General features: G+C 36.4%; 1 protein-coding gene across 4 annotated transcripts in view, besides 1 other annotated feature; it reads right to left on the reverse strand.

Moving 5' to 3' along the window:
* Positions 3,826 to 4,026: a silencer, noted in NCBI's record as "peak6136 fragment used in MPRA reporter construct". NCBI's record gives its function as "represses an SCP1 promoter by STARR-seq MPRAs in K562 erythroleukemia cells {active_cell/tissue: K562}" and the evidence as "EXISTENCE:reporter gene assay evidence [ECO:0000049][PMID:32103011]".
* HBS1L (HBS1 like translational GTPase) overlaps positions 6,987 to 25,877 on the reverse strand; it is a 94,445-nt gene continuing 75,554 nt past the window's right edge. For 3 of the 4 annotated variants that reach the window (NM_001145158.2, NM_006620.4, NM_001363686.2), the window contains 5 exons: positions 25,787 to 25,877; positions 25,288 to 25,396; positions 15,847 to 15,947; positions 12,938 to 13,082; positions 6,987 to 11,899 (listed from right to left, as the gene is read on the reverse strand). In NM_001145158.2, coding sequence (NP_001138630.1) covers positions 11,888 to 11,899; positions 12,938 to 13,082; positions 15,847 to 15,947; positions 25,288 to 25,396; positions 25,787 to 25,877 — 458 coding nt within the window. In that variant the 3' untranslated portion in view covers positions 6,987 to 11,887. Of the gene's footprint in view, positions 11,900 to 12,934; positions 13,083 to 15,846; positions 15,948 to 25,287; positions 25,397 to 25,786 lie in introns of those variants that run through there. The other variant, XM_047418093.1, reaches the window with a different exon arrangement.

Below are 25,877 nucleotides of genomic sequence, written 5' to 3' on the forward strand. Positions count from 1 at the left end.
GGGGAACAGAGAGTGCCATGAGTGAAATGGAGCCATCAGAGTTCATTCATTTGGAGAAGGATAGGGGAGGATGGATACAGAAGCATGGAGAGGAGGTTGAAAGACAGACAAGATGGTAATTCCAAATAAATACCTGTTCTGGGGCGTCATTTTCCTTCTGTCTCCACAAGAACCTTGCTCACTGGATTATCATCTAACTTTTCATTCTTCTCCTCTCTCCTGGCGCTTTCAGCCTTTAAATGAGCTCCTCTCTCCAATATCATATCATATAAACAAAATAATATAATAAACAAAAATTTAAAAGAACTTTCTCTGGCTCTCTGGCCTCTGTCCTCTCCTCTATAATCCTTCTCTCCTACTGAAAACATTACACAGAATGAATGAAAATGAAAAGTGCTGTTGTTATAGGAATAACTACCCTCACTTATATGTGGCATGATGTTGTTCTCTTGCCCATTTGCCAGCCCCTCAAACCCCAATCTTCTTAGCCTCACTCCTAGGAGGAACTTTTGTGCACAATCGCATGTCAGAATTATCCTATGCAAGGTTATCAATATGAAACACTAGAGGTTTCTTTGGTTGCATGTGCTCCACTCTGAGGAATCTGGGGACGTGCCCTTGCCCTCCAAGGTTAGCGCTCAGAATGGGATCACTGTCTTGGGATGATGGTTGCAGGATCCCCCAAGAGATAGAGCTGAAGGCTAGAAAAACTGAGTGAGGAGAGGAACAAGGTATAAGAGAGAAATTCAAGAAGTATGTATATGGGATTCTGTTTCAAGTGTGAACAGATAAGACCTTAACACGTATGCTTATATTAAACTCAGCCATTTTGGGGAAAATGCTAGGTGTCCCCTGTGGTGGCCACCCTAATGTTCTCTAACATACAGTTCTCCTCCTGAGTACTCCTCAGCCCCTTTGCAATGAGGTGGGGCTGTTTGGATAGTTCTGGCCAGGGTCTTTGAGTAAACGCCAAGCCTGCTGGGGACTGTCCACTGTCTCTCCCACTTCCATATAGACCAGGAAGGCTGTGTGTTCCAGGTGGCAGGTACAGGATGAAGAACCTCTGTCAGCCTGGACTGCTGAGTCACTCTATGGAGTACAGTCTTATTATGTGGTGATAATTAGCATGAAATAAACATGTGTTTTCCTATACCACTGTATTTGGGGGTCAATTTCTAACCAATCACAGCATAAACAAGCCTACCCTGGTTAGCAGGCATATAACTTTAGTTGGCTAAAATTTCAAAATTTCTCATTGATGCTATCTTGCAGATACCAGTCCCTGGGCACTGATCCCATATCTAGACAGGAATAGAGCCCTCTGTGAGGAGACGTGGCTCTTTTCCTCAAAGAAAAGGGCATGGCCAAATGCGTGGGGCCTGACAGGTGCTACATACCATGTTAATGATGCAACCCTAGCCTACTTCCCTAACCAAGGAGGTGAAAGTCCAGTGCCCAGCTCAGAGGCAAGACTTAAAGCTGTGGTCAGTGGAGGAAGGTAAGAGCCTTCAGAGCGAAGGTGTACACCTCCTCCAGTATGGAAACACTGCTAAGATGACAAAACTTAAACCCAGTTAAGGGGTATTGTATTGATATTACAAAGGCCACAAACTGTGGAAGCAGCTACCATCTGACTCCACAGTCCCTTGATTGATATCTGTGACTGGACACTTGTGGAGGATCAGACATTAGGATCAATTAAGATGCAGTTGTTCTGGGCCAAATGGCCAAGGATAACCAGAGAAAATAATACCTTACACCAAATATACTAAGTGGAAAAAACTGCTCAGCAAAGTGGACTATAGAAATGATTCTGACCCACAATACCTTAAAATGGGTGTGACTGGCATTGTTTTTCTTTTCAAAACGTACTAAGGTATGAGACTCCCTCACTCTCAACTCCCATGCAGCAGCAGATCCTCCAGGCTTCCTAACTCTGTGGTCAGATCCAGTTTGACCAAGGCAAAGATTTTTAGGAATTGATTTTCACAGGAAGGGTTTTACTTGGCCAGGGACCACTTCTTATCATCCAAGAGATTTAACAAGATGTTTTCAGGCATATCTAGAATAGAAGAGGTGCAGGGCTTATAACATGGGCTTCTCCGGCCATGTATACAATTGACCAGGAATGAGGCCAGGGATCTCACTGGTTATTTGTTCACCCTGTGAGGAAGCCCTGGTTGCCTAGACTTCCATTCTGGGATCAAGAACAAAGGACAGATGCAAAGACTTGCCTAGTATATAGCTGAACATGGATCAGCATTAGGCAGAATAGGTACCCAGAAATCTACATTAACACTCTGTTAAGGTGCCAGGAACAACAAAGTGGAGATAAAATTTCTCTATGCCATGTGGGATTCACGGGCAACACAAACAGGAGGCTTTCAGAAAAAGACTCTGTATCTTGAAGTGGATTCTTTAATGCCGGGCATGGTGGCTCACGTCTGTAATCCTAGAACTTTGGGAGGCCTGAGGTGGAAGGATCACTTGAGCCCAGGAGTTTGAGACCAGCCCGGGCAACAAAGTGAGACCCCCATCTCTATAAAAAAATAGAAAAAAATTAGCCGGGTGTGGTGGTGCATGCTTGTCGTCCCAGCTACTTGGGAGGCTGAGGTGGATCACTTGAGCTCTGGGCGGTCAAGGCTGCTGTGAACCGCGATCGTGCAGTGGCACAATCATTGCTCACTGCACTCCAGCCTAGGTGACAGTGAGACCCTCTGCTGGATGCTGAGCCAGAAAAGTTAAGGTAAATGTTCTCAACAATTCTCCATCCACTGAAGAACTAGGGTGGTGGGAGTGTGGCTGAGCATGGGATTTCCCCAACCCCTAGAAAGCAGGCCTCCAAGACGAGTCAGAGAATAGCCTCGCCCTCCCTACAGCAGGAACAAAGTGGGGTTAGAGACATTTTTGTTTCAGTTGATGAAATGTTAACAGAGGCTGGTTGAATAGCTGTGATCTATATATATTAATTTCTTGATTTTGATGATTATTATTGTGGTTGTGCAGAAGATAGACAGACAGACAGATAGATAGTCTTGCTCTGTCACCCAGGCTGGAATGCAGTGGCACAAACATGGCTCACTACAGCCTCCACCTCTTGGTGTCCGGCAATCCTCCCACCTCAGCCTCCCGAGTAGCTGGAATTACAGCCATGCACTACCATGACTGGCTATTTTTTTTTATTATTTTTTTGTAGCGATGGGGTCTCACTATGTCGCCCCAGCTGATCTTAACTTCTGGACTCAGGTATTCTCCTGGTCTTGAACTCCCAAAGTGCTGGGAATACAGGTGTGAGCCACTGCACCCGACCTGTGGAGAATACTTTGTAGGAAACAGATATTCAATTCAGTAGTGATGGGACATCATGTGGCAACATGGTTTAGGAAAAAAATTTTTTCTATTGGACTTGGAACTTTTCATTTATTTGAAATATTTTCCGAAATATTCATAACAGAAAAGGAAGTGGATTCTTACCTCATATCATGAACATATTACTCATACCACATAAACAATTTACAAAAATTTTTTTTTAAAGAAGGGAAATGTTAAAATCCCCAGTCAGGGCTGGGAAAAGGCTATGATAGATTAGGATAGCTTCAATGGCACTTATTGCTAATGTTTTAATCATTAGTAGAGGGAACAGTTTATGGGGTTTTCTTGTTTTTAATCTACATATTAATTACAAATGTTCTTTTGCTTGTATTAAATACTATATAACAAAAATTTAAAGACTTTATCATTTAGAACAGTTTTATATTTATAGAAATACTGCAGCCAGTTTCCCCCCAATATGAACATCTTATACTAGAATAGTACATTTGCCACAGTTAAGGAGCCAGTAGTGATACATTCTTAACTAAACTCCGTAATTTATTGATGTTTCCTTAGCTTTTACTTAATGTCTTTGGTACAGGATCCCACTCATGACACATTACATTTCCTTATGTCTCCTTAGGTCCTCATGGCAATGAGTTTCTCAGATTTTTCTTATGTTTGATGACCTTCACAGTTTTAATGAGTATTGGTCAAGAATTTTGTAGGATGCTCCTCTATTAAAATTTGCCTGATATTTTTCTCATGATTAGAGTGGTGTTGTGAGTTTTTAGGAGGAAGATCAAAAAGTGCCATCTTCACCACATTATTATACATAGATATATATCAGTATGTATAATCAACATGACGTCACTCGATGTTAACCTTGATCACTTGGCTGAAGTAGTACTTGTCAGGTTTTTCCATTATAAAATTCTTTTCACTGCTTTTCCATACCGTACTCTTTGGAAGGAAGTCACTATGCTCAGCCCCACACATGAGGGGTGGAGTGTTACGTTCTACCTCCGTGAAGACAAAGTATCTACATAAATTATTTGAAATGCTTTTAAAAGGGAGATTTGTCTCTTCATTTCCCCTATCTTATTTATTCAACCTCCCTTTATTTATTCAATCATTTATTCATATTGGTATGGACTCATGGGTATATTTCCTAAGGACAGTCATTCTGTTTCTTTTCTAGGTTTTTTAGTTAAATGTTTATTTAGTTAGTTTTTCCATAAGCTTATAGTAAAAAATTTAAGGATATACTGATTTCTTTCCATTACATACAAATATATACACATATACACATGCATATATGTAAAATATATTTGTTGTATACACATGTAATACATAGGTATATGTATTACACACATTTTAAAAAATCTTTACTTTGCTGATTTATTTCTATTACTTTGTATTCCACAAATGATTTCAGATGACTTACAGAAATAAAAATACATACATTATAATAGGTTGTGGGGGAGAAAATATTAGGAAGAATGAAAAATAAGTGCTTGCAAACAAGATAAAGCCAGGGATACGGGTAGTTTACAAAATGCCTAAGATCCTGTACAGTTTGGGGCCTCAAATTTGGCTGTCAGCTTCCTGGCAGCCAAAACAAAGAGAAAACCATCATGAGTATAAAGCTATCTGAAGCTTTAATAAGTAGTCTCATTTTCATTTTTGAAAATAATCTTAAATTTTCTTCATTAGGTTATTTAGAAGAGTGTCTTTTATATGTCCTATGACTAAGGTATTTCTAAAAACTCATTTTAATATATAGAACTTTTGAGTATTATGCTTTTGATAACCTGGGGTTTTCTTCATCACTAAGAATACTCAATTTTTGTAAATGAACATTTTAGAAGGTGTTTAAGGAAATAAGCCTAGCCACAGGTAAAACTCCTCAGATGAAAATGTCAGTATGCTGTCACGCAGGAGGCTCTCTGGGGCATCAACAGTATTTTGCTGAAATTACCATGGTTCGATATCTGGCTTATAGGCTTTGGGATCTGAATTTGTCAATATACTGAGAATAGACTCATTTAACTAAACTCAAGAGGTTGATATTTAACATTCAAATTCCAATTTATTTATGTACTATGAGAAGTATATCAGAAAACCCACAGATTCTTGTGTCCTCATTCCTGGCACATTCCCTTCCTCTAATTAAACTACTTGAATTGCCAAATAATCAAACTTCAGCACATTTATTCTTACCTTCAGCAGAACTTATGCAGCTCAGTAAAAGTTAAAGGACCAACAAGGAACCAGAAGAGACATTAGACAATCAAAATTCAACAGTATTTGAATCTATCTCAGAGTTATGTATTTATCCTCTGATTGGGCCTGGCCTGGCCAAGGGAGCCAGGGAGTCTTTCCTTTCTGGACAGAGTGCAATCATTTGAATATTTATGTCCTTGCAAAATTCATGATGAAATTTAATTCCCAATATAACAGTATTAAGAGTTGAGACCTTTTAATTACAAAATTGGGCCATGAGGGCTCCATCCTCCTGCATGAGATTAGTGTCCTTATAAAAGCACTTGAGGGAGCAAGTTTCTGCCTTCAGCTCTTCTGCCTCATGTGAACACGGTGTTTGTCCCTTCTGCCATGTGAGGACACAGCAAGAGATGTCATGTTTGAGGCAGACAGCCTTCACCAGACACCACATGTGTTGGTGTCTTGATCTTGGACTTCCCAGCCTCTAGAACGTTAAGACATAAATGGCTGTTATTATAAATTACCCAGTTTAGGGTATTTTGCTATAGCAGCTCGAACAGACTGAGAGACAAGGCTTTGAATGAGTAGCATTTGTTGCTGTGAACCTTTCTCAAGATTCCATGGATAACTAAGCCCTCTTATGAATGGCACAGACCTTCTTTAACTCTTTGCAGATACCTTGCTATTTTTGTTTTCCATTTTGTTGTTAATTCCTGTTCCTTTGTAGATTTGACTTTTCTCTCTGACCAATTTTAGGATCTTTCTCTTCAGTATTCTGCAGTTTCACTAAAATGTACTTAGAAGTGGATTTCTTTTTTATTTACCATCCTTGAAATATGTTGTATTGCTTCTATTTGTGAATTCATATCTTTCATCAGTTCTGGAAAATTTTACAGCTATTATATTTTTTGATATTGTACATCCATTCTCTGTATTCCCACTTTCTAAAACTTTAATTTTATGTGATGTATACCTTCTCATTCTAGTCTCTATTCCACATGAACTTATTCATATCTTTATCTTACTGTACTGTATTGTGGGTAAATTCTCTGATCTATGCTTCCAGCTACTAATTCTTTCTTTGGCTGTATCTAATCTGTTTAATCTAAATAGTTTTTAGTTTCAATTATATATTTCACACTTAAATGTTATGTTTGATTTTAAAACACATATGGTCATTTTATAGTCTCTTATTTACTCACATTTCCACGTCTTATAAGGAAATATTAAATATTTAAATATTTTAGCCAGCTATTTTATATTCTGTAACCAGTAATTCCAATATCTGTAGTCCATTTAAATGATTCCAAACCTGAAAGATAACTCCCATATCTATAGTCTGATCCACTGAGTTCACTTTATAACGTAACTCTTCAAGAGCAGTGTTAACTGCTTTTTATCAAATTCTTGAAGGAAACTTGTAACAGTATATTCTCTTTTTACATATATTTTTTTCTGCTTTGCTATTTAAGTCCTCTATGACCTTGTTTGTTTACATGATCTATAAGGCAGAGCTATGAGAATTCCTCAATAATTGTAACTATGCCCTTTAATTTTTAATTTCTAATAAATTTCATTATGCATTTTTATGTCATTTGGTACAGTTTTATTGTGCATTATACTTGTTATTAATATGAAATTCTCTTAATTTTTTTTTACTTGCTTTAAATTCTTTGTCCAGTGTTAATATTGCTACTCCTGATTTCTGGAGAGGCAGTGTAGTGTCTCTGAACATGCCTCAGTCAGACTTAAATCTAAATTCAAATCATGGTTCCATAATTTATTTACTAGTTTTTAGCAATCCCTCTGAGCTTTAGTCTTCTCATCTATAGACTGAGGTTAATAATATCTGCCTCATATAATTATAGATATGTCATGTTAAATGAGTATATGAAAATTGCTTGGCACATGGTATACACCCAACGGATCAGTTATTTTTGTCTCCCCAGTACATCTGTGCCCTTTCTTCTTTAAATCTATGGTTTTATTTATTTACAAAATAGGAATATTTTGCAGATAGCATATCATTAGCTTTGCAGTTTGAGTCTACATTTTAAAGATAAAAACCTATTTTCATTTACTGTAATAATCACAACCTTTGTCTTCATTTAATTTTCTTGTTTCCTTTCCATCTTTTGCTGTACAGACTTAGTTTCTTTGCTTTTTTTTTTTTTTTTTTTGCATTGATATGAATAGTTTCACTAATTCCATTCATGGTTACTGTAAACATTCTTAAAACTTTGTTTTATGGGATTATCAGAGTAACAAAATAATGTAGTCCCTTTATGGACTATAAGTAACTTAATGCTTTTCTTTCCCTATTTCATATCCCCATATTTGGTGCAATAATTTAATTCACTTACTTCATTATTTTGTTTTGCATTGTATTTTACACCTACATTTACACTATTAACTTATTTGTACATACTTAAATGGTTTCAGTGTGAAAAAGCAGCTTCTGACCTAGCATTCACACTAGGCGGTGGCGTTCTCCTGCTGAACATTTAACAATTCTCAAATCTCTAACATCAGATGAGGTCACTGTAATCCGGATAAAATGAGATACTGTAATCATGCCTGAGCACAGATAAAAACAAAGTCACTGTGCAAACCATAAACAGCCAACCTCTTCTTGTGGCTAACATGGGTGACTGTTGCTTCTTTCCTTTCCTCCCACCCACAACATAAAAATTAAGATACCCAGTTGCAAAATCACTCCCACTTTCTGACAGCACTCAATCCACTTTCTGACAGCACTCAATCCAGAAGAAACCCTTGCTCACTTGAGCCCTCCTTAAAATTAGCTACATGTGCTCAAATTCTTAGCAAGCCCCTCCTTACACCTTCCCACTGAGAAGCACCCATAGACCCCAGTGGTGTGCAGTCTCTCTTGCTGCAGCAAGCATCAATAAAACTAATTTTGATTATAATTATGCCCTGGTGATCTTTGATGACATCAACAAATGATGAGCATCAACAAATGTTTGCCGCAGAATTTTCTACCATCACCTACCCTCCAATCTTAAAGTTTTGAATTATCTCTTTATGATACCCTGTCCCCTGGTTGGACTATCAGCCCTATTAAGACTCAAGCCCCAGAGCTTTCTCTTGTGCCTGGAATATGGCAGGATCATAATTAGACGAGGAAAGGATGAATGTTTTTCTACTTACATATTTCTATAAATATTTTAGAGGGAAATTAGAAGATGATTCAGTAGTTTGTATTGGGCCTACTTGTCTTGATTTTTTGAAAACTGTATAATTTTGAATAACTTCTATATATCAGGATCTGTAATTGTTATTTTTATATCAATAAAAAAAACCTCTAATACTTCTATTGAAAAATATTGATTACATAACAACATGAAAATAACTTGGCTAACGCTCACAACTATGTAAAAAAATGCATTGGAGAGACAGAAAAGAAATACATGAAAACATTGGCAGCAGTTACCTTTAGGTGACAGAACTGTGGGTTAATTTTATTCTTCCCTATATTTTCTGTATTTTCCAAATTTTCTGAAGTCACTATGATTGCATTTTAACAATGGTTAAAACTATTGATTTGCATACTCATGGGAGAAAAACAGCTATGCCTAGAAACTGGCCTCTAAAACATTTCTCACAGTAGAGAGGCTCAATTGTCATGAATGTGTGAATAATACTAACAAGTCAAAACATAGTTCTGTAATGTGTTCAAGCCACATTATCCTAGAGGTTAACTGCTCAGAAGAATCTCACAAAGAGTCAAAGTCAGAGGACAAAGCCATTAGTGTGAAGAAACAGTAAAATCATAAAAAAGAAGACAGTCAGGACAAGAAATACCTGAAGCAAAATGACACAAAATGGATGTACTATAAATTATGGATGAAAGTAACAGGGTAGGAAATCAGAGCATAACCAAGCTTGGGCATGTCTGCTTTACCTCTTTGTCACTTAATCAACTCGAGCCTTCCACTGCCAACAGTCTTCTTACACAGTGGATCCTCGAAATAATATCACCACTCCTTTCAACCACAATCAATCATCAATAAAATGCAAATAAAAAGATTGTACTTAAACACTATTGGAGAAGGAAGGAATGAATAAATGCATTCATTTCTACTACTATTTGTTTATGCTAAACTGTAAACTAAAATTCTTAATTCGATCACAGTCTTATATAATATACAGAGTGGATGGTTTCTTGTTTTTACTCCCCCTACCTTAAACCCCAATCCATTTCCCCTTCCTAACAGCACCCTGAATTTCCAACCCTCACACAACTGTTAGCTACATGCTTTGTGTGATATTAACTTCACACTCAAACACAGGATATCCTAGGGAAGTATTAATAAATAAAATTCAATCATAGTCAATGATGAGATGTTTCTAGGACTTCTGGAGAAGATATGCTCTTTTAGTCTGTCCTTGCCCTGGATGGGAGATCTGAGGATGTAAGTGTGGAATTATCACATCTTGTCAAGAACCTGGCATTACAGAAGAGGTTTTTTATGGGTGGCAGGGTGACAGGTCTTGCTCTGTCACCCAGGCTGGACTGCAGTGATGTGATCATGGCTCACTGCAGCCTCGACCTCCTGGGCTCAAGTGATCTTCCCACCCCAGCCTCCTGAGAAGCTGGGACTACAGGCATGTGGCACCACACCCAGCTGATCTGTTTTTAAATTTTTTCTGTAGAGACATGGTCTCACTATATTGCCTTAGCTGGTCTCAAACTCCTGGGCTCACGCTATCCTCCCGACTCAGCCTCCCAAAGTGTTTTGATTACAGGTGTGAGCCACCGCGCCCGGCCGAGAGTTCTATATAGAGTTTGAGAGCAAAACCAGCACCAGGGAAGGCAGAGTGGAGATGAGTCCTTGCTAACATTGTGTGAGCTGCTCGATCTAAATGGAATCAAAGCTAGAGCTACCTCTAATTTTCTCAGTTATGTCATTCAAAAATTTTTCTTTCTGCTTCAGTCACTTGAAGTTAGATTTCTGTCACATATATCTGTTAAATTCTTGATTAATATTAATATTTAAATAAAACTTTCTTAACTCAGTGAATCTGAAGTGACAACTACACATGTATTTTGGTAAAGCAATATACCAAGTGTGTTCACTTGGTAATCATTCACTAAGCAACACATGTATAATCTGCCTACTTTACCATACAGATGTTATTGCTTATGTTCAAAATGTCAGGTTCACGAAAAGGTGCAGGGAGAAGAAATGCTGTTGTATATGTTAAGCCATCGATATACAAATCACGCTGCTAATAAAAAAAAAAGCTTATCATAAACAGTCTATCAGATCAGAGTTCCAGGTTCAGCTGAGGTCAAAATCTACTCTAAAGCTCCTTGCACCCAGAAGGCACCTCAACGAATACCTGTTGTTAAATAAATAAACCTTGGGGTTTGTTGTTGAAACTTTAAAGAAAAACATGACTCTTACTTACTCACAGGGGACTTATAATCTATAAGGTAAGCAAGATAAAGAAAGGGCCATCATAGGTATAATTCTAAAAGTGAGAATGGGAAAAGCAAGTTATGGTTAAAAAAATGAATGAGATGAAATTGGATCTGCCATTAGGATAAAAAAGAATTCATGTGACAGAGCTAGGAAACTCTTAGGTGAAAAAGATCCCACAAAACCCCTAAATCATATTTACTGTTAGTGGCAGAGAATCTCATAAATGTCTAAAGAACAAAACACAGTTTGTATTATGCTCAAACTAAGGCATTTTATTAGCTGGCTTTACAACTTAAATAATATCTTGGCTTTCAAAGGAACAGCTTCCACTAATTCCAAATTAAACTTTCACAAGTTTACTTGTTTGGGGAGGGACATTCTTATGGTCACCACAAAATACTTTTATTATAACCTTCCCCAAATCTTTTCTTAGCATTAACTGGAAAAAAAAAAAAAAAAAAAGCTTAGGTCAAATATCAACTGCCTGAAAAACCCAATTAAGTTACTTTTCCTTAAAACATGTGCAGTATAATTGAATCAAAAGAGAAAACTGCAAATACATTGTGCTTTGGCCAGAAGTAGAGTTCATTTCATGATGATTCAGTATCTTCAGATACTATTTTTGACACTTGCCATAAATCTTAGCAAAGTAAATCCATTTATTAACGTTTCAAAGGCAAAGTTGTTTTTAACATTAGACTTTCTTTGCCAGTTGGCAACTTAGAATTTTTGCAGAGGTGATTATTAATACTTCTTTGCAGCTAATTTTAGCTTTAATTTTTCTCTCTCATCTAAAAACATATCAATTGCACATTGTTCCTTTGACTTAATAACTGCATTCTTGAAACAGAGGTTAGCTATTTCACTGTATCCAGAAACGTGGTAGAAATTCTGACCCATCATTCTTTTATCTGTTAAAACAAAAAAAAAAAAGACATTTGCTGTAATTTAATCAATCACATTATAAGAACAACAAAGGGAAAATTATGGTGAAAGAATTATTATATCAAGAGAAAATCTTTTTCTTTGTCCTGCAACTTTCTTCCTTTCCTAGTCATGCCATTTCTGCAATTTACTATAATCTCTCCATTATTCTCCACAAATGACTCTATCTTATTTTTAGAATGCTCTTTTAGAAAGAATGCCTTGATAGATTAAATGTGATATTGATGGCAACGATATCAGCTACCAATATTGGATGCTTTTTATGTGCTGAGTGCTTTGCACGTTATCATTTCATTTCAACACAACTCTAGGAGGTAGATTCTATTATCCTATTTTTACACTGAAGGAGGTAAATTGAAGGAGAAATGCATTTATGCCGCTAAAAACTGGTGGAGCAAGAACACAAATGGGCAGTGTAACTCTGAAAGCTGTTTTCTTCACCTCCACCCCACACCGCCTTCCATATGTATTTTACTTAAATTATGTATATAGAGTTTCTTGGTGCTTTAGCAACTTAAAAGAAAGATTTTTCATGATATGTGTAACTCACTTTTGATGCAACTTAAAGTTTATGTTATATCCAATTAAATAAACTAGTTTTAGGCAGAAAACAATCATGTGGAGTAATGAAGTACCCTTTAAAATACAATATTCATAAGATTCATATTAATTATGATAGTGTAGAAGAAATTAAATCATTGAAATTTTCTGGTTCATTTCTGGCTGTTTTCTCCAGCAATTAGAATTTAATATAAATTCTAATTTCTTGTTCTAGTAGCATAACTGTGTTTCCTTTAAGGCATAAAATCTCACTGAAGATTTTACCAATCTTCCAAATATAACCCTATCCCTTAAAGGACCACTACAACCTAAAATGAGTAAGGCTTCTCCTAATCAATGCTTTTTCTTTCATTCCCTCAATGCTTTCTTTTCATTCCTAAAAGGTAAAAAAGAAAAGGCATCATAACTATGGATATATAATGAGTCACTTTAAAATAAAATACCTCAGTGACAACACCAGCAGCTATTGTAGAACCACCGTAACGTAGCATGAACCTCCCCAGCTCTTTAAAGTCTTTATATAGCTCAAGAGCTATTGGTCTTTGTGTCTGTAGCTCTACCAATGCATTCTGGCCTTTAGTCAAAAACCTATTAAGAAAAAAAAAGAACAAATGAATATATGATAGAGGTGAATAAATGTAATAATAACAACTTGAAAAACAAATATTTCACATTTAACCAACATATCAACTGAGTCTTTCAAAAACAAGAAAAATATTTTTTGAATGAAAATATATGTCTTTGGACTTTCTGCTTTAGTTGAAAGAAATGAGGAGTAATTCTAGATTTAAGAAACATTAGGTAGTTCATTTTTACCAATCTTCCAAATATAACTCTATCCCTTACGGGACCACTATAGCCTAAAATGCTTAAGGCCCCTCATCATGAAATAAATGCTTTTTCTTTCATTCCCTCAAGAAAGTGAGTTCAATTATCTAATAAAGAAAGTTATACTAAGGCTTATTTCTATAAAAAAGTATTTGCAAAGAGGAATATAATGCCCTATGTCTTTCCTAGTAAAACTGTAATTTATGGAATGTGTATTAGGAAGTTATCTGTGAAGAGGACAATCAATCTGTTGTTGCTAAGATTCCCCTCAATCAATCAAGCAATCTCTCTCTTTCCCCACACAGGAATAATAGTTCCTTAGCAGGAGTTCAGGACAAAAATCACATAAGTAGCTTTTCCACAATATGATACTTGTAAAATATGAAGGAAGACAGGGCATGGACCAGACTGTAAATGATTTCATAAAAATAAGTGAACAAAAATCTCTAGGCTAGGCCCTGCTCAGACTTAGTGAGAGAGGCAGAACCTAAAAAGGGACATTTTGGAATTGTTTTCTAATTTAATTTTTATGTACTCTAGAAGTATAGTGGACAGAAATCATAAACTCTCCTTTTGAAAGATAAGTTCAGGGGCAGACGACTAAAAGAAGGTTCTAAAAAAATACACCAAAAATTCCAAATATTGGTTTTGGACAATTTCAGGCTTAAGTTCATTCCTTAGGAAGGAGAGCATCTAATACATAAATGGCTTGTTCCTAATTTAGTTTCTAGAACATTAAATTCCATTCTGCATAAAGCAATCAAGAGCCTACAACGTGCCTGAACAGGAATGAAAGGGAAAGGCCAAACGGTTGTGCAAAATAAAAGGATAAAGCTACAAATAAGATGACAGGGAACACAAACACGAGAATATGTTAAACTCTACCATCATTGAGCTAGGATTTTGTAGCAGGAGCATGGAGGGGAAGACTCAGGATTATATATGATGAGCCAATTTCAGACTGAAAATTCTGTATCAGTTGTCTAGGTCAAACAACCTGGCTCCTGAACAAAAGAATATAATTTATGTAAACCAACTGACTAGGTTAGAATCCTGCCTCTACCACTTGAGCTTTGTGTCACTTGCTAGATGCTTCACAGGATTGCTAAGAATATACATTATGTGAAAGCATTCACAATACAGCCTAAAAATAGTGGTCCTCAAGAAATGTTAGTCATATAGTTATATCGTGTTTCTCAGAACATTATAGCAAACACTCATGCCACAAGCTAAAGACTCAGGTTAAATATAAAGATCTACCTTTAGGAGAGAGGTAAAGTAGCCCTTCCTCCTAACAGAGAAACAGGCAAGGGTTTAGAGCAATGTGAGATTTTCTCTTCTACTTGCAGTCAGCCTATTAACCCACTAACCACATTTGGCCTCTTCTGCAGGTGTAAAAGATGAGGAACACCAAGGACAGAAAAAAGGGGATTTGGGATGTTATTGGAAAAGAAGTTGGAAGGAAAACCCCAAAGCTAAAGCAGCCAAGCCAAACTGCAATTAGCCTTAACTTGGATTTGGGTAAGAAATCTTTTTTTTTTTTTCTTTTTTTTGAGATGGAGTTTCACTCTGTCACCCAGGCTGGAGTACAGTGGTGCGATCACCGCTCACTGCAACCTCCGCCCACCGGGTTCAAGAGATTCTCCTGCCTCAGCCTCCTGAGTAGCTGGGATTACAGGTGTGAGCCACCACACCCGGCTAATTTTTGTATTTTTAGTAGAGACGGGGTTTCGCCATGTTGGCCAAGCTGGTCTCAAACTCCAGACCTCAGGTGATCTGCCCGCCTTGGCCTCTCAAAGTGCTAGGATTACAGGCATGAGCCACTGTGCCTGGCCAAGAAATCTATTTTGTAACATTCATCTCTAGTCCTGTATTTTGTTTTTATTTACGTACTTAGTTTCTGAGGAAGTACTTAAAAAATCCCAATCTCGTCCTAGCCAAAGGGGAAGTGTCACACCTAAGCCTGGACATTAATGCTAATCAGCAGGCCCAACAGGATGCTGATCACCTCAACTTAAGGCTCCAGGTGGACTTTGAGCAAAAAAAAAAAAAAACAAACTTTCCAGATGGGAAAAGAGCAGGCACTACAGAGTGTATAGATTATTTTCTTCTTAGCTTAGCATAGGGAATGATCTTATTAAGGAGGTGACAAGAAAGTTAAACACGCAGTAGAAATTTGGAACCGGTGTCTAGACATATTTTTTTAAATGCCCTTATTTTCACATAATCAGTATCTATGGCTTGAAATGTACATACATATATAAGTTTATATTTACATTTATTTATAATTCACATCCTCCACCACCACACATAACAGAAATTATATCTAGTACCCATATCTAAACAAGAGCTTAAATACTTGCTTGTTTTTATGTTTGTTTTAATCTAGCCCTTGAAAAAATAATTTCTGGAACAAGTAAAAATGGGTTTCACTTACCACAAAGAGAAATACTACACAAATGAGTTAATCTTTAAAAAATTGGCTTAAATTGCTTGTTTATCATTTCTGTATTAAAACACTCACTTAGGCTTTTTCTTTGTGACTTCACCCGTGCTTTTGTTTAAGACACTAATCAATCGTTTAATAACGGCGGGTTCACTGACAGTTTGGTAGTGTAACAGCACCTAAAACAAAAAATTATAACACTAAAAATCTGCTACCACAGTATCTCTGGCCTTTTCTTTTGGCACTTATACTTAATTATCTTCAATTCAGTGCTACTGCTTGGAGTCTTTCAGGATCTCCAGTTGCTTCCTCTAAGTCCCACCACTCTAATCAGGTGGTTACTTAACTCACTAAGAGGAAAAAAGTCATGAGAGGCATTTCAAATTTCTACCCCACCAATTACTGCATCAACTTTAGTTCAGTGCATAACCTGTCAGCTTTTTCCTCTGTAAAGATGGAGGGTAACAACATCTTAGTGTTGTTCTAAAGATTAAGTAAGAGAATTCGTCATTTAGAACAAATGTTGTTGTCATTTTTATTATTACAAGTAGTAGTAGGGAAAGAACCTGGGATTGAATCTCAACTCTTTCTCTTCTGTCTGTACCTCAGTTTCCTCAAGTGTAAAATAAGTAGGCTTTTATAGCGTTGTGATGAAAATTAAATAGGATCAGACACAGTGCTTGCCATGGTAGAAGTTCAACCAATATAAATTGTCTCACACAGATTAGAGAGGGGGATAATATCATATTCACAGTAATTAATGTATTCATTGTTGAATAAGAATAAAATATTATAATAAATATAGAGGTAAAGAGGAAGGAAAATAACGTTTTTAACTATACTGGGTACAAACATTGTATGATATGATTTATGATTTATATGTACTATTTAATTTATGCAGCAGCTTAGTAGGCCCTGAAGTCAGACAGACCTGGGTTCAAGTCACCTCTAGTTGTGTGAACTTTGGGGCAAGTTATTTTTGTTTTTTTTGGAAGCGGAGTCTTGCTCTGCTGCCCAGGTTAGAGTGCAGTGGTGCGATCTCAGCTCACTGCAACCTCCACCTCCCAGGTTCAGGCAATTCTCCTGCCTCAGCCCTTACAGCAGCTGGGATTACAGGTGCACACCACCGTGCCCAGCTAGTTTTTGTACTTTTAGTAGATATGGGGTTTCACCACGTTGGCCAGGCTGGTCTCGAACTCCTGACCTCAGGTGATCCGACTGCCTCGGCATCCCAAAGTGCTGGGATTACAGGCATGACCCATTGTGCCTGGCCTGGGGCAATTTCTTTAACAATCTTCCACCCCTAAAATCCCCAGCCTCTGGTTCCTTATCACTGAAATGAGGAAAATCAGATGTTATTTTAAAGTGGTGCCTGGCACATGGCAAGCATTCAGTTAACTGATGGCCTTATATATTAGCTATTATTTCCATGTTTTATATGTAAGGAAAATTAAAATCAAAAAGGTTAAGCAATTTAATGTGGCCATGATGCTGTGTGTAGAGCTGAATTTTAGGCTTATGTCAGCTGAAACTACAAATTCAAAGCTCTTCCCACTTGAGTTTACAAGGAGGCCTATAGAAATCATATAAATGGAAACTTTCACTTTATGAAGATGAAGCTAAGGTTTGGATACACCCTAATCCAAACCAGAACAAAGTTAGACTGACTATCCTCGCTCAAATAATAAGTGTGCAATAAGCATTAAGTGTGTAATATGTCTATAGTTTAGAGATATTGGAAAGATCAATGCCCAGGACATATCAGAGCTATCAAAGTTTCATTGGTTTATAAGTACAATTTAATGCTGTTTGTAGAAACATTGGCACTTCTACTCTGGAATTTCCTAGCCAAAATAGTTTGCACATTCAGAAAACAGAAATGCAAGGGGGGCTGTAGATGTACAATCTTAGACTTTGGGAACTTTCTAAACCAACTCATTCAATTAAAAAAAAAAAAAGGGCACAGCTGGGCCTGCATTACTCCAAAAAGACAAAAGTGGTATTATTTTTCAATGGCATTTGAGGAGTCAGAACTGGAAAGATTCCAAAAGAATTAAAAACTGACTACTGGGGATGAAAAACTTGCCACAATGAATGGTAAAGTGGTGAGAAACACCTGTGTGCATTCAAAGGATTCAGGTCTTAACCAGTACCAATATAACATAAATATAAGTCTAAATATCTAAGAAACATTTCGTTTGTAACAAACAACTGAGGTAAACAAGCAGGATTCACTTCGCTTAGCCAAGGTGTGACTAAGGAACTGGAACCAGTCTCCATGGCCAAATTTGAAAGAACAGAAGCATACAAACCTAATTAAGTTCTTCTACCCTTGGTGAGCTATGTGTGAGCTATGCAAAATCAGGATGGACAAAGGATGGGTTGTGGCAGCATGAAGTTAGGTCTTATATGTCTTTTCATCTCCTCAGTATCTTGCAAATAGTAGCTCAAACAAATTATCACACGAAAATAACAGAGGGAAGTGACTGCACACTATCTCAATATTTTAATTCATATTATATATAACCAAAGTCATCTATAATTCAAAGTAATGTGCAGCATAGTGTAATAGGAAAAAAAAGTACTGAATTTCAGAGTAAAGGTAATGAATAAGGAGTCCTGGCTTAATCACTTATTATTTATATAGCACAACCTCTCGGAGGGTTCAATTCCTTATCTGTAAATAGGAACCATACTAATACAGGTCCACAATCACTTATCTGCAATTCCCAAGTCCCAAAAGACTGAAAATTTGAAGTTTTTTCTTAAGTCTGTAACAAGCCCATTTAAATGCAAAACCAGACTTGAAGTGAGGCAATGTATAGATCTTATTTATCTCAGTTAGTGTTAATAAGTTCTGGTGCAGAAACATTAATATTTTGATTTTAGAGTGTTGTTCCCTTCTGTTATGTAACTTGTATGCATTATTTACCTTTCTAAAGTTCTAACATTTCTGAATTCTAAAACCATTGCTCTAAAGGGTTTCAGGTAAAGGCTGGGATTCTATTCTTCGTGTAGGGTTATGAGAATCAAATTATCTAGTGTTCTATAAACTCAAATGGGCTACGTAGTCTGTTAGGTGGCCAAGTAAATCATTTTCCTTAATTTTCTAGATAACCTGTATTTTTAAAATGTTAACAAATACATAGTCAATTGGTTTTCAACCAGGGTACCAGCACCATTCAATAGGGAAGGAATAGTCTTTTCAACTCATCGTGCTGGGAAAACTGGATATCCATATGCAAAACAATGAAGCTCTCTACCTTACATATGTACAAAACTTAACTGAAAATGGATCAAAGACCTAAATATAAAAGCAAAAACAACAAAACTCTTAGAAGAGAACATAGCACAAAAGCTTTATGACATTGGATTTGGCCATGATTTCTTGGATAATACACCAAAAACATAGGCAACAAAGGAAAAAATAAACTGTACTTCAACCAAATTAAAAACTTTTGTGCAACAAAGGACACTACCAAGAAAATGAAAAGGCAGCCTAGAGAATAGGAGAAAATATCTGCAAATCATGTATGTAATAAGGGATGATATTAAGAACTTCTATTAATAACAACACAACCTAATTCAAAATGTGCAAAGGATTTAAAAAGACATTTCTCAAAGATATACAAATGGCCAATAAGCACATGAAAAGATGTTCAGCATCTAATTAGAGAAATCCAAACCAAAACCACCATGAGACACCACTTAACAACTATTAGTTTGCCTATTATATTTTTAAAATCCCTCTCCCACACCCCACTACTAGAAAACTTGTTATTTAATGTGTTGACAAGAAAGTAGAGAAAATAGAACCCTTATGCACTGCTGGTGGGAATGTAAAATGGTAGAGCCCCTGTGGAAAATGGTTTAGCAGTTCCTCAAAAAGTTAAACACAGAATTACCATATGATCCAGCAATTCCACTCCTAGGCATATGCCCAAAAGAATGGAAAGCAGGAATCTCAATAGATACTTGTACACCCGTTTTCACAGCAGCATTATTTGTAATAGCCAAAAGATGGAAATAACCCAAATGTGCATCAACAGATAAATGGATTTTTAAAAGGTGGTATATACATGCAATGGAATGTTATTCAGGCTTAAAAGGGGATGAAATTCTGATGCATATTACAACATGGACAAACCATGAAAACAATTTGCTAAGTGAAATAAGCCAGACACAAAAGGACAAATATTGTATGATTCCACTTACATAAGGAACCTAGAGCAGGCAAATTCACAGAGAAAGTAAGTAGAAGAATGGTTATCAGGGGATACCAAGAGGGAATAATGGGAAGATACTGTGTCATGGGTACAGATTTTCAGTTTGGGATGTTGAAGAAGTTCTGCAGATGAATAGTAGTGATGACTGGCCAGGCGCAGTGGCTCAATGCCTATAATCCCAGCACTTTGGGAGGCCAAGGCGGGTGGATCACCTGAGGTCAGGAGTTCAAGACCAGCCTGGCCAACATGGTGAAACCCCGTCTCCACTAAAAATAAAACAAATTAGCCAGGCGTGGTAGTGCACACCTGTAGTCCCAGCTACTCGAGAGGCTGAGGCAGTTCCGGGAGGCTGAGGCAGGAGAACTGCTTGAGCCCAGGAGGCAGAGGTTTCAGTGAGCCAAGATTGTGCCACTGCACTCTAGCCTGGATGCCAAAGCGAGACTCCATCTCAAGAAAAAAAAAAAAATGAACAGTAGTGATGACTGCACAACATTGTGGAGGTACTTAATGCCACTGATTGTACACTTAAAAATGGTAAGTTCTATGTCACATATATATATATATAAAATAATAAAAATCAAATATAAATTCACTTAAAGTCTAATCCATTCTTCTATTATTTCCTCTTAAAAAATATAGAGTAAGAGAGAAGATTCAAATAAGCTCAATTCAAAAGGAAAATGGAGACATTATAAACGACACCACAGATATACAAAAGATCATTTGAGACTACTATAAACACCTCCGTGCACACACTAGAAAATCTAGAGGAAACGGATAAATCCTGGAAACATACAACCCTCCAAGCTTGAATCAGGAAGAAATAAGAAATCCTAAACAGACACATATCAAGCAGTGAGAATAAATCAGTAATAAAAAAAAAATTTTCAACAACAACAAAAAAGCTCAGGGCCAGATGGATCCATAGCCAAATTCTACCAGACATTCAAAGAAATAATACCAATCCTACTGAAACTATTAAAAGACTGAGAAAGAGAGAATCTTCTCTAACTCATTCCATAAAGCCAGTATCATCACCCTGATAACAAAACCAGGAAAGGACATAACAAAAAAAGAAAGCTACAGACCAACACCCCTGATAAACACAGATGCAAAAATCCCTAACAAAATACTAGCAAACCAAGTCCAACAGCATATCCAAAAGACATTTTATCATGATCAAGGAGGTTTCCTCCCAAGGATGCAGGAATGGTTCAGCATATGCAAGTCAATAAATGTGATTCACCACTGAAACAATTAAAAGCAAAAAAAAAACAGATGATCATCTCAATAGATGCGGAAAAAGCACTAGATAAAATCCAGGATCCCTTAATGATAAAATGTTCAATAAACTAGGCAAAGAGGAAACATACCTCAAAATAATAAAAGCCACATATGACAAACCCACAGCCAACATCATACTAAATGGGGAAAAGTTGAAAGCATTCCCCCTAAGAACTGAAACAAGACAAGGATGTTCACTCTCATCACTTCTATTAAACACAGTACTGGAAGTCCTAGCCAGAGCAATCAGGCAAGAGAAAGAAATCAAGGGCATCCAAATTGGAAAAGAGTAAGTCAAACTATCTCTGTTTGCCAATGATATAATTACATACCTAAAAAATCCTAAAGATTCCTCCCAAACAACACCTAGATTTGATAAATGAATTCAGTAAAGTCTCAGGTTACAAAATCAATGTACACAAATCAGTAGCACCAACAACGATCAAGCTGAGAATCAAATCAAGAACAAGAACTTAATCCCTTTTACAATAGCTACAAAACCAACCAACCAACCCACCTAGGAATGTACTTAGCCAAGGAGGTGAAAGATCTCTTACAAGGAGAACTACAAAACACAGCTGAAAGAAATCATGGATGACAAATGAACAGAGATACATCCCATGCTCATGAATTGGAAGAATCAATATCATGGAAGAGACCACATTGCCCAATCTACAGATTTGGTGCAAATCCTGTCAAAATACTAACATCATTTTCCACAAGATTAGAAAAAACAATCCTAAAATTCATATGGAACCCAAAAAGAGCCCAATTAGCCAAAGCAGTCCTAAGCAAAAAGAGCAAATCTGGAGGCATCACACTACCCTACTTCAAATTATACTACAGGCTATAATAACCAAAACAGCATGGTACTAGTATAAAGGTAGATTCATAGACCAATGCAACAGAATAGAGAACCCAGAAACAAAGCCAAATACTTAACAACCAACTAATCTTTGACAAGGCATGCAAAAACATAAATTGGGGAAAGGACACCCTATTCAATGGATGGTGCTGGGAAAATGGATGGTGCTGGATAGCTACATATGGAAGAACGAAAACTGGATTCCTATCTCTCACTACATGCAAGAGTTAACTCAAGAGGGACTTGGATCTAGGAACTGAAACCATGGAAATTCTGGAGGAAAACCTGGGAGAGGTTCTTCTGGACATTGGCCTAGGTAAGAATTTATGACTAAGACCCCCAAAGCAGATTCAACGGAAATAAAAATAAATAGATAAGACCTAATTAAGCTAAAGAGCTAGTGCACAGCAAAGAAATCCTGAACATAGTAAACAGACAATCCACAGAATGGAAGAAAATATTTGCAAACTATGCATCTGACAGGACTAGTATCCAGAATCTACAAAAGACTCAAATCAGCAAGAAAAAAAAGCAAACAATTCCATCAGGAAATGGGCAAGTGACATGAGCAGACACTTCTCAAAAGAAGACATACAAATGGCCAAGAAACATATGAAAAAATGCTCAACATCATTAATCATCGAGGAAGTACAAATCAAAGCCACAATGGGATACCACCTTACTCCAGCCAGAATGGCCATTATTAAAAAGTCAAAAAACAATAGATGTTGCCCTGTATGCGATGAAGAAGGGAACACTTGTGCACTGCTGGTAGGAATGTGGATTGGTATAGCCTCTGAGGAAAACAGAACAGAGATTTCTCAAAGAACGAAAAGTAGATCTACCAGTTGATCCAGCAGTCTCACTACTGGGTATCTACCCAAAGGAAAATAAGTCATTATATCAAAAAGATACTTGAATGCATGTTTATCACAGCACAATTTACAGTTGCAAGAATGTGGAACCAACCTAAGTGCCCATCAACCAATGAGTGGATAGAGAAAACGTATATGTACACCATGGAATACTACTCAGCCATACAAGGGTAGAGATAGTGTGTTTTGCAGCAACTTGGATAGGGCTGGAGGATATTATTCTAAGAGAAGTAACTTAGGAATGAAAAACCAAATAGCATATGTGCTTACTTAAAAGTGGGAGCTAAGCTATGGGTACACAAAGACATACAGAACAGTATAGGGGACACTGGAGACTCAGTAGCGGGTAGGGCTTGAAGGGGGTGAGGGATAAGAAACTACATCTTGGGTACAATATACACTACTTGGGTGATGGGTGCACTAAAATCTTAGATTTCACCATTATACAATTTATCCATGTAATCAAAAACCACTAGTTGGTAAAAAGAAGTAAAAAGAAAATTGACAAATAAATAAAAAACAAAGGAAAAAATTACTTGTACCCAAAAGCTACTGAAATAGAGTTTCCCATACAAAATAGGGAAAATTTAAATATATTTATGTAGTATTATGGCATTAGTCCCTAAACAGTAAAATTTTAATAGCTTAGGAAACCTTTGTTTGCTTAAAAAATTTTTTTTCAAGTTTTTCTCCCATAGGGAGTAGACTGACAAAATATGGCCATATTTTTCTGAAACAAATTTGATCCTGGTATTTCTGAATCAATATATGCTGGCAGAATCTCCTAAAGCAACAGTGAAAAACTTGCAATTCATGCTTATTTTTAAGAAACTACAGTAGTCAGGGAGACAGTATTACTATTCAAAGTCACTTCTGACCTCTTCATCCCTCTACCTCTCCATTGGCAAATATTATTATTGCATGAGTAAAAATATGCAGTAACCAACCCCTCCTTTGCCTCATAGGACATACTGCTTTCTGTGAATGAGTTCCATTCGCTCACAACAATTAACTTGTTGTTACTTGATGATCAATACATGAATTCTGAATATTTAAGTATCTTCAACTATAGCAATTTTTTTAAAAGAAGCTTTTCTTTTCTAGTGTATGGAAGAAATGGAATATAATTATGTAAGTAAAGTACCTAAATAGTACCTTAAAATATAATTTTACATGATCAAATTAATATAGAAATAATTACAAAGAATTATAAAGTACAAGGTTATCTCAAATATAGGTGTATCAGTATAAATGACCCAAATAAATGTATTGCCAACCTCTAAACCACTATCACTAACTTTAAAAACTCTTACTTTTATTTCAAAGATGCATCAAATGGTAGAAACATCACTGAGAAACATTTATTGTCATGCAGAATCTGTACTATATGAGCTAATTAGAAAAAAAAGTCTAATGGGAAAAATGGTCATCTGTCACGTGACAAAAGCAAAGTACAAAAACTATAAGAGTACGGTCCCAAATATCTCAAAACAATTACACATAAAACAAAAAATCCAGACTATTCACAAGTAACAGCTTTTCAGGATAAGTAACATTATTGTATAAAATCTCCCTCTTCCCATAAAATGTATATGTTCAAATGATGCTGGCAAACCAACCTTACAACATGCAGGTTCTGAATGTGTTGCTTCAGCACAACTGAATGTCTAGGATCCCCAGACATTTACTGTATGTCTAGGATCCCCAGAATACACCCAATACATACCAACTGGGTGGATAATATGCTCACATAAAAACACACTGACATGTAAAGATATATATCTATGGATTATGCAAGTATATGGCATTTTTATTTTCCATATTTTTAAGTTTTCCAAAATTTTCTATGCAATCTATAACTTTTATTATCAGAAAAACTGCAAATCGACATATTAAAAATGGAAACCCAGAATGATTCAACCTAAAAAACTTAGAAGTAACTAAGAAAAACTTAGAAGTAAGTAAACTTTAGAACACAGTGAAAATGTGTCTATCATTTTTCCCTGGATAAATTTTATTATCATTACTTTGTATCCTATTTATTATTAAATATCTTCTCAATGCCTTTTAAAAAGTCCTCAGGCTCAAAGATCAAAATAAAAAACAAAATAAAAACGATTTTCTAATTATAAGTTTTTCTGGATTACAGTAATAAGATGTTAATTCAAAATAAATATAGTATCACCACTTGTAAAGAAAGTTACCACTTTTAGGATAAAGTTACTTTGAATTTATAAAAACAGGAATAATAAAACATTTTGGAACTTACAGGAAATCCTTTAGTGATAGGAATTTCAATATTAAAGATGAGGATTCGGGCTCTGAAACGAGTGCAAGCTTTAATGGGTACTTTGGGGCCACAAAATATGCAGCCAACACTGTAAGAACAACAAAAAAAGAGGAAAGGTAATTGGGGGACAAATTTACATCAAATAGAAAGACCTCAAAAACATTTACAAGGAAAGTAAAACAATTAAGTAAATTAGGGACTTTTTCTAAATATTCTCTTCTGAGCTAAAGCATGACTTTAAACCATTATTAACCTTATGTCATTTTTATACATTAGAGCTTTCACTCAAAGCACATGCCAAGTATGTGTGCTGACATGTATTAATTCAAATTTTAAGTAAGTTTGCTTACATTTACACAGGTGTCTATTTTTGGTCAAATGAAATTCAAAATTGAACTAGCAGGTTGCAAAATATATGTGTTTAGAGGTGAGGTCCTATATGAAGACAACGGTTGCTTAAACTCATTTTCTCACTCACTTGATTTTGATGATATCCATCCCAACCAAAGTAAGACTAACATGATCGCCTGCTGCCGCCCAGTCGACAGGTTCATCATGCAGAGTGATTC

Source organism: Homo sapiens, chromosome 6, assembly GCF_000001405.40.
Source record: "Homo sapiens chromosome 6, GRCh38.p14 Primary Assembly".
NCBI lineage: Eukaryota > Metazoa > Chordata > Mammalia > Primates > Hominidae > Homo > Homo sapiens.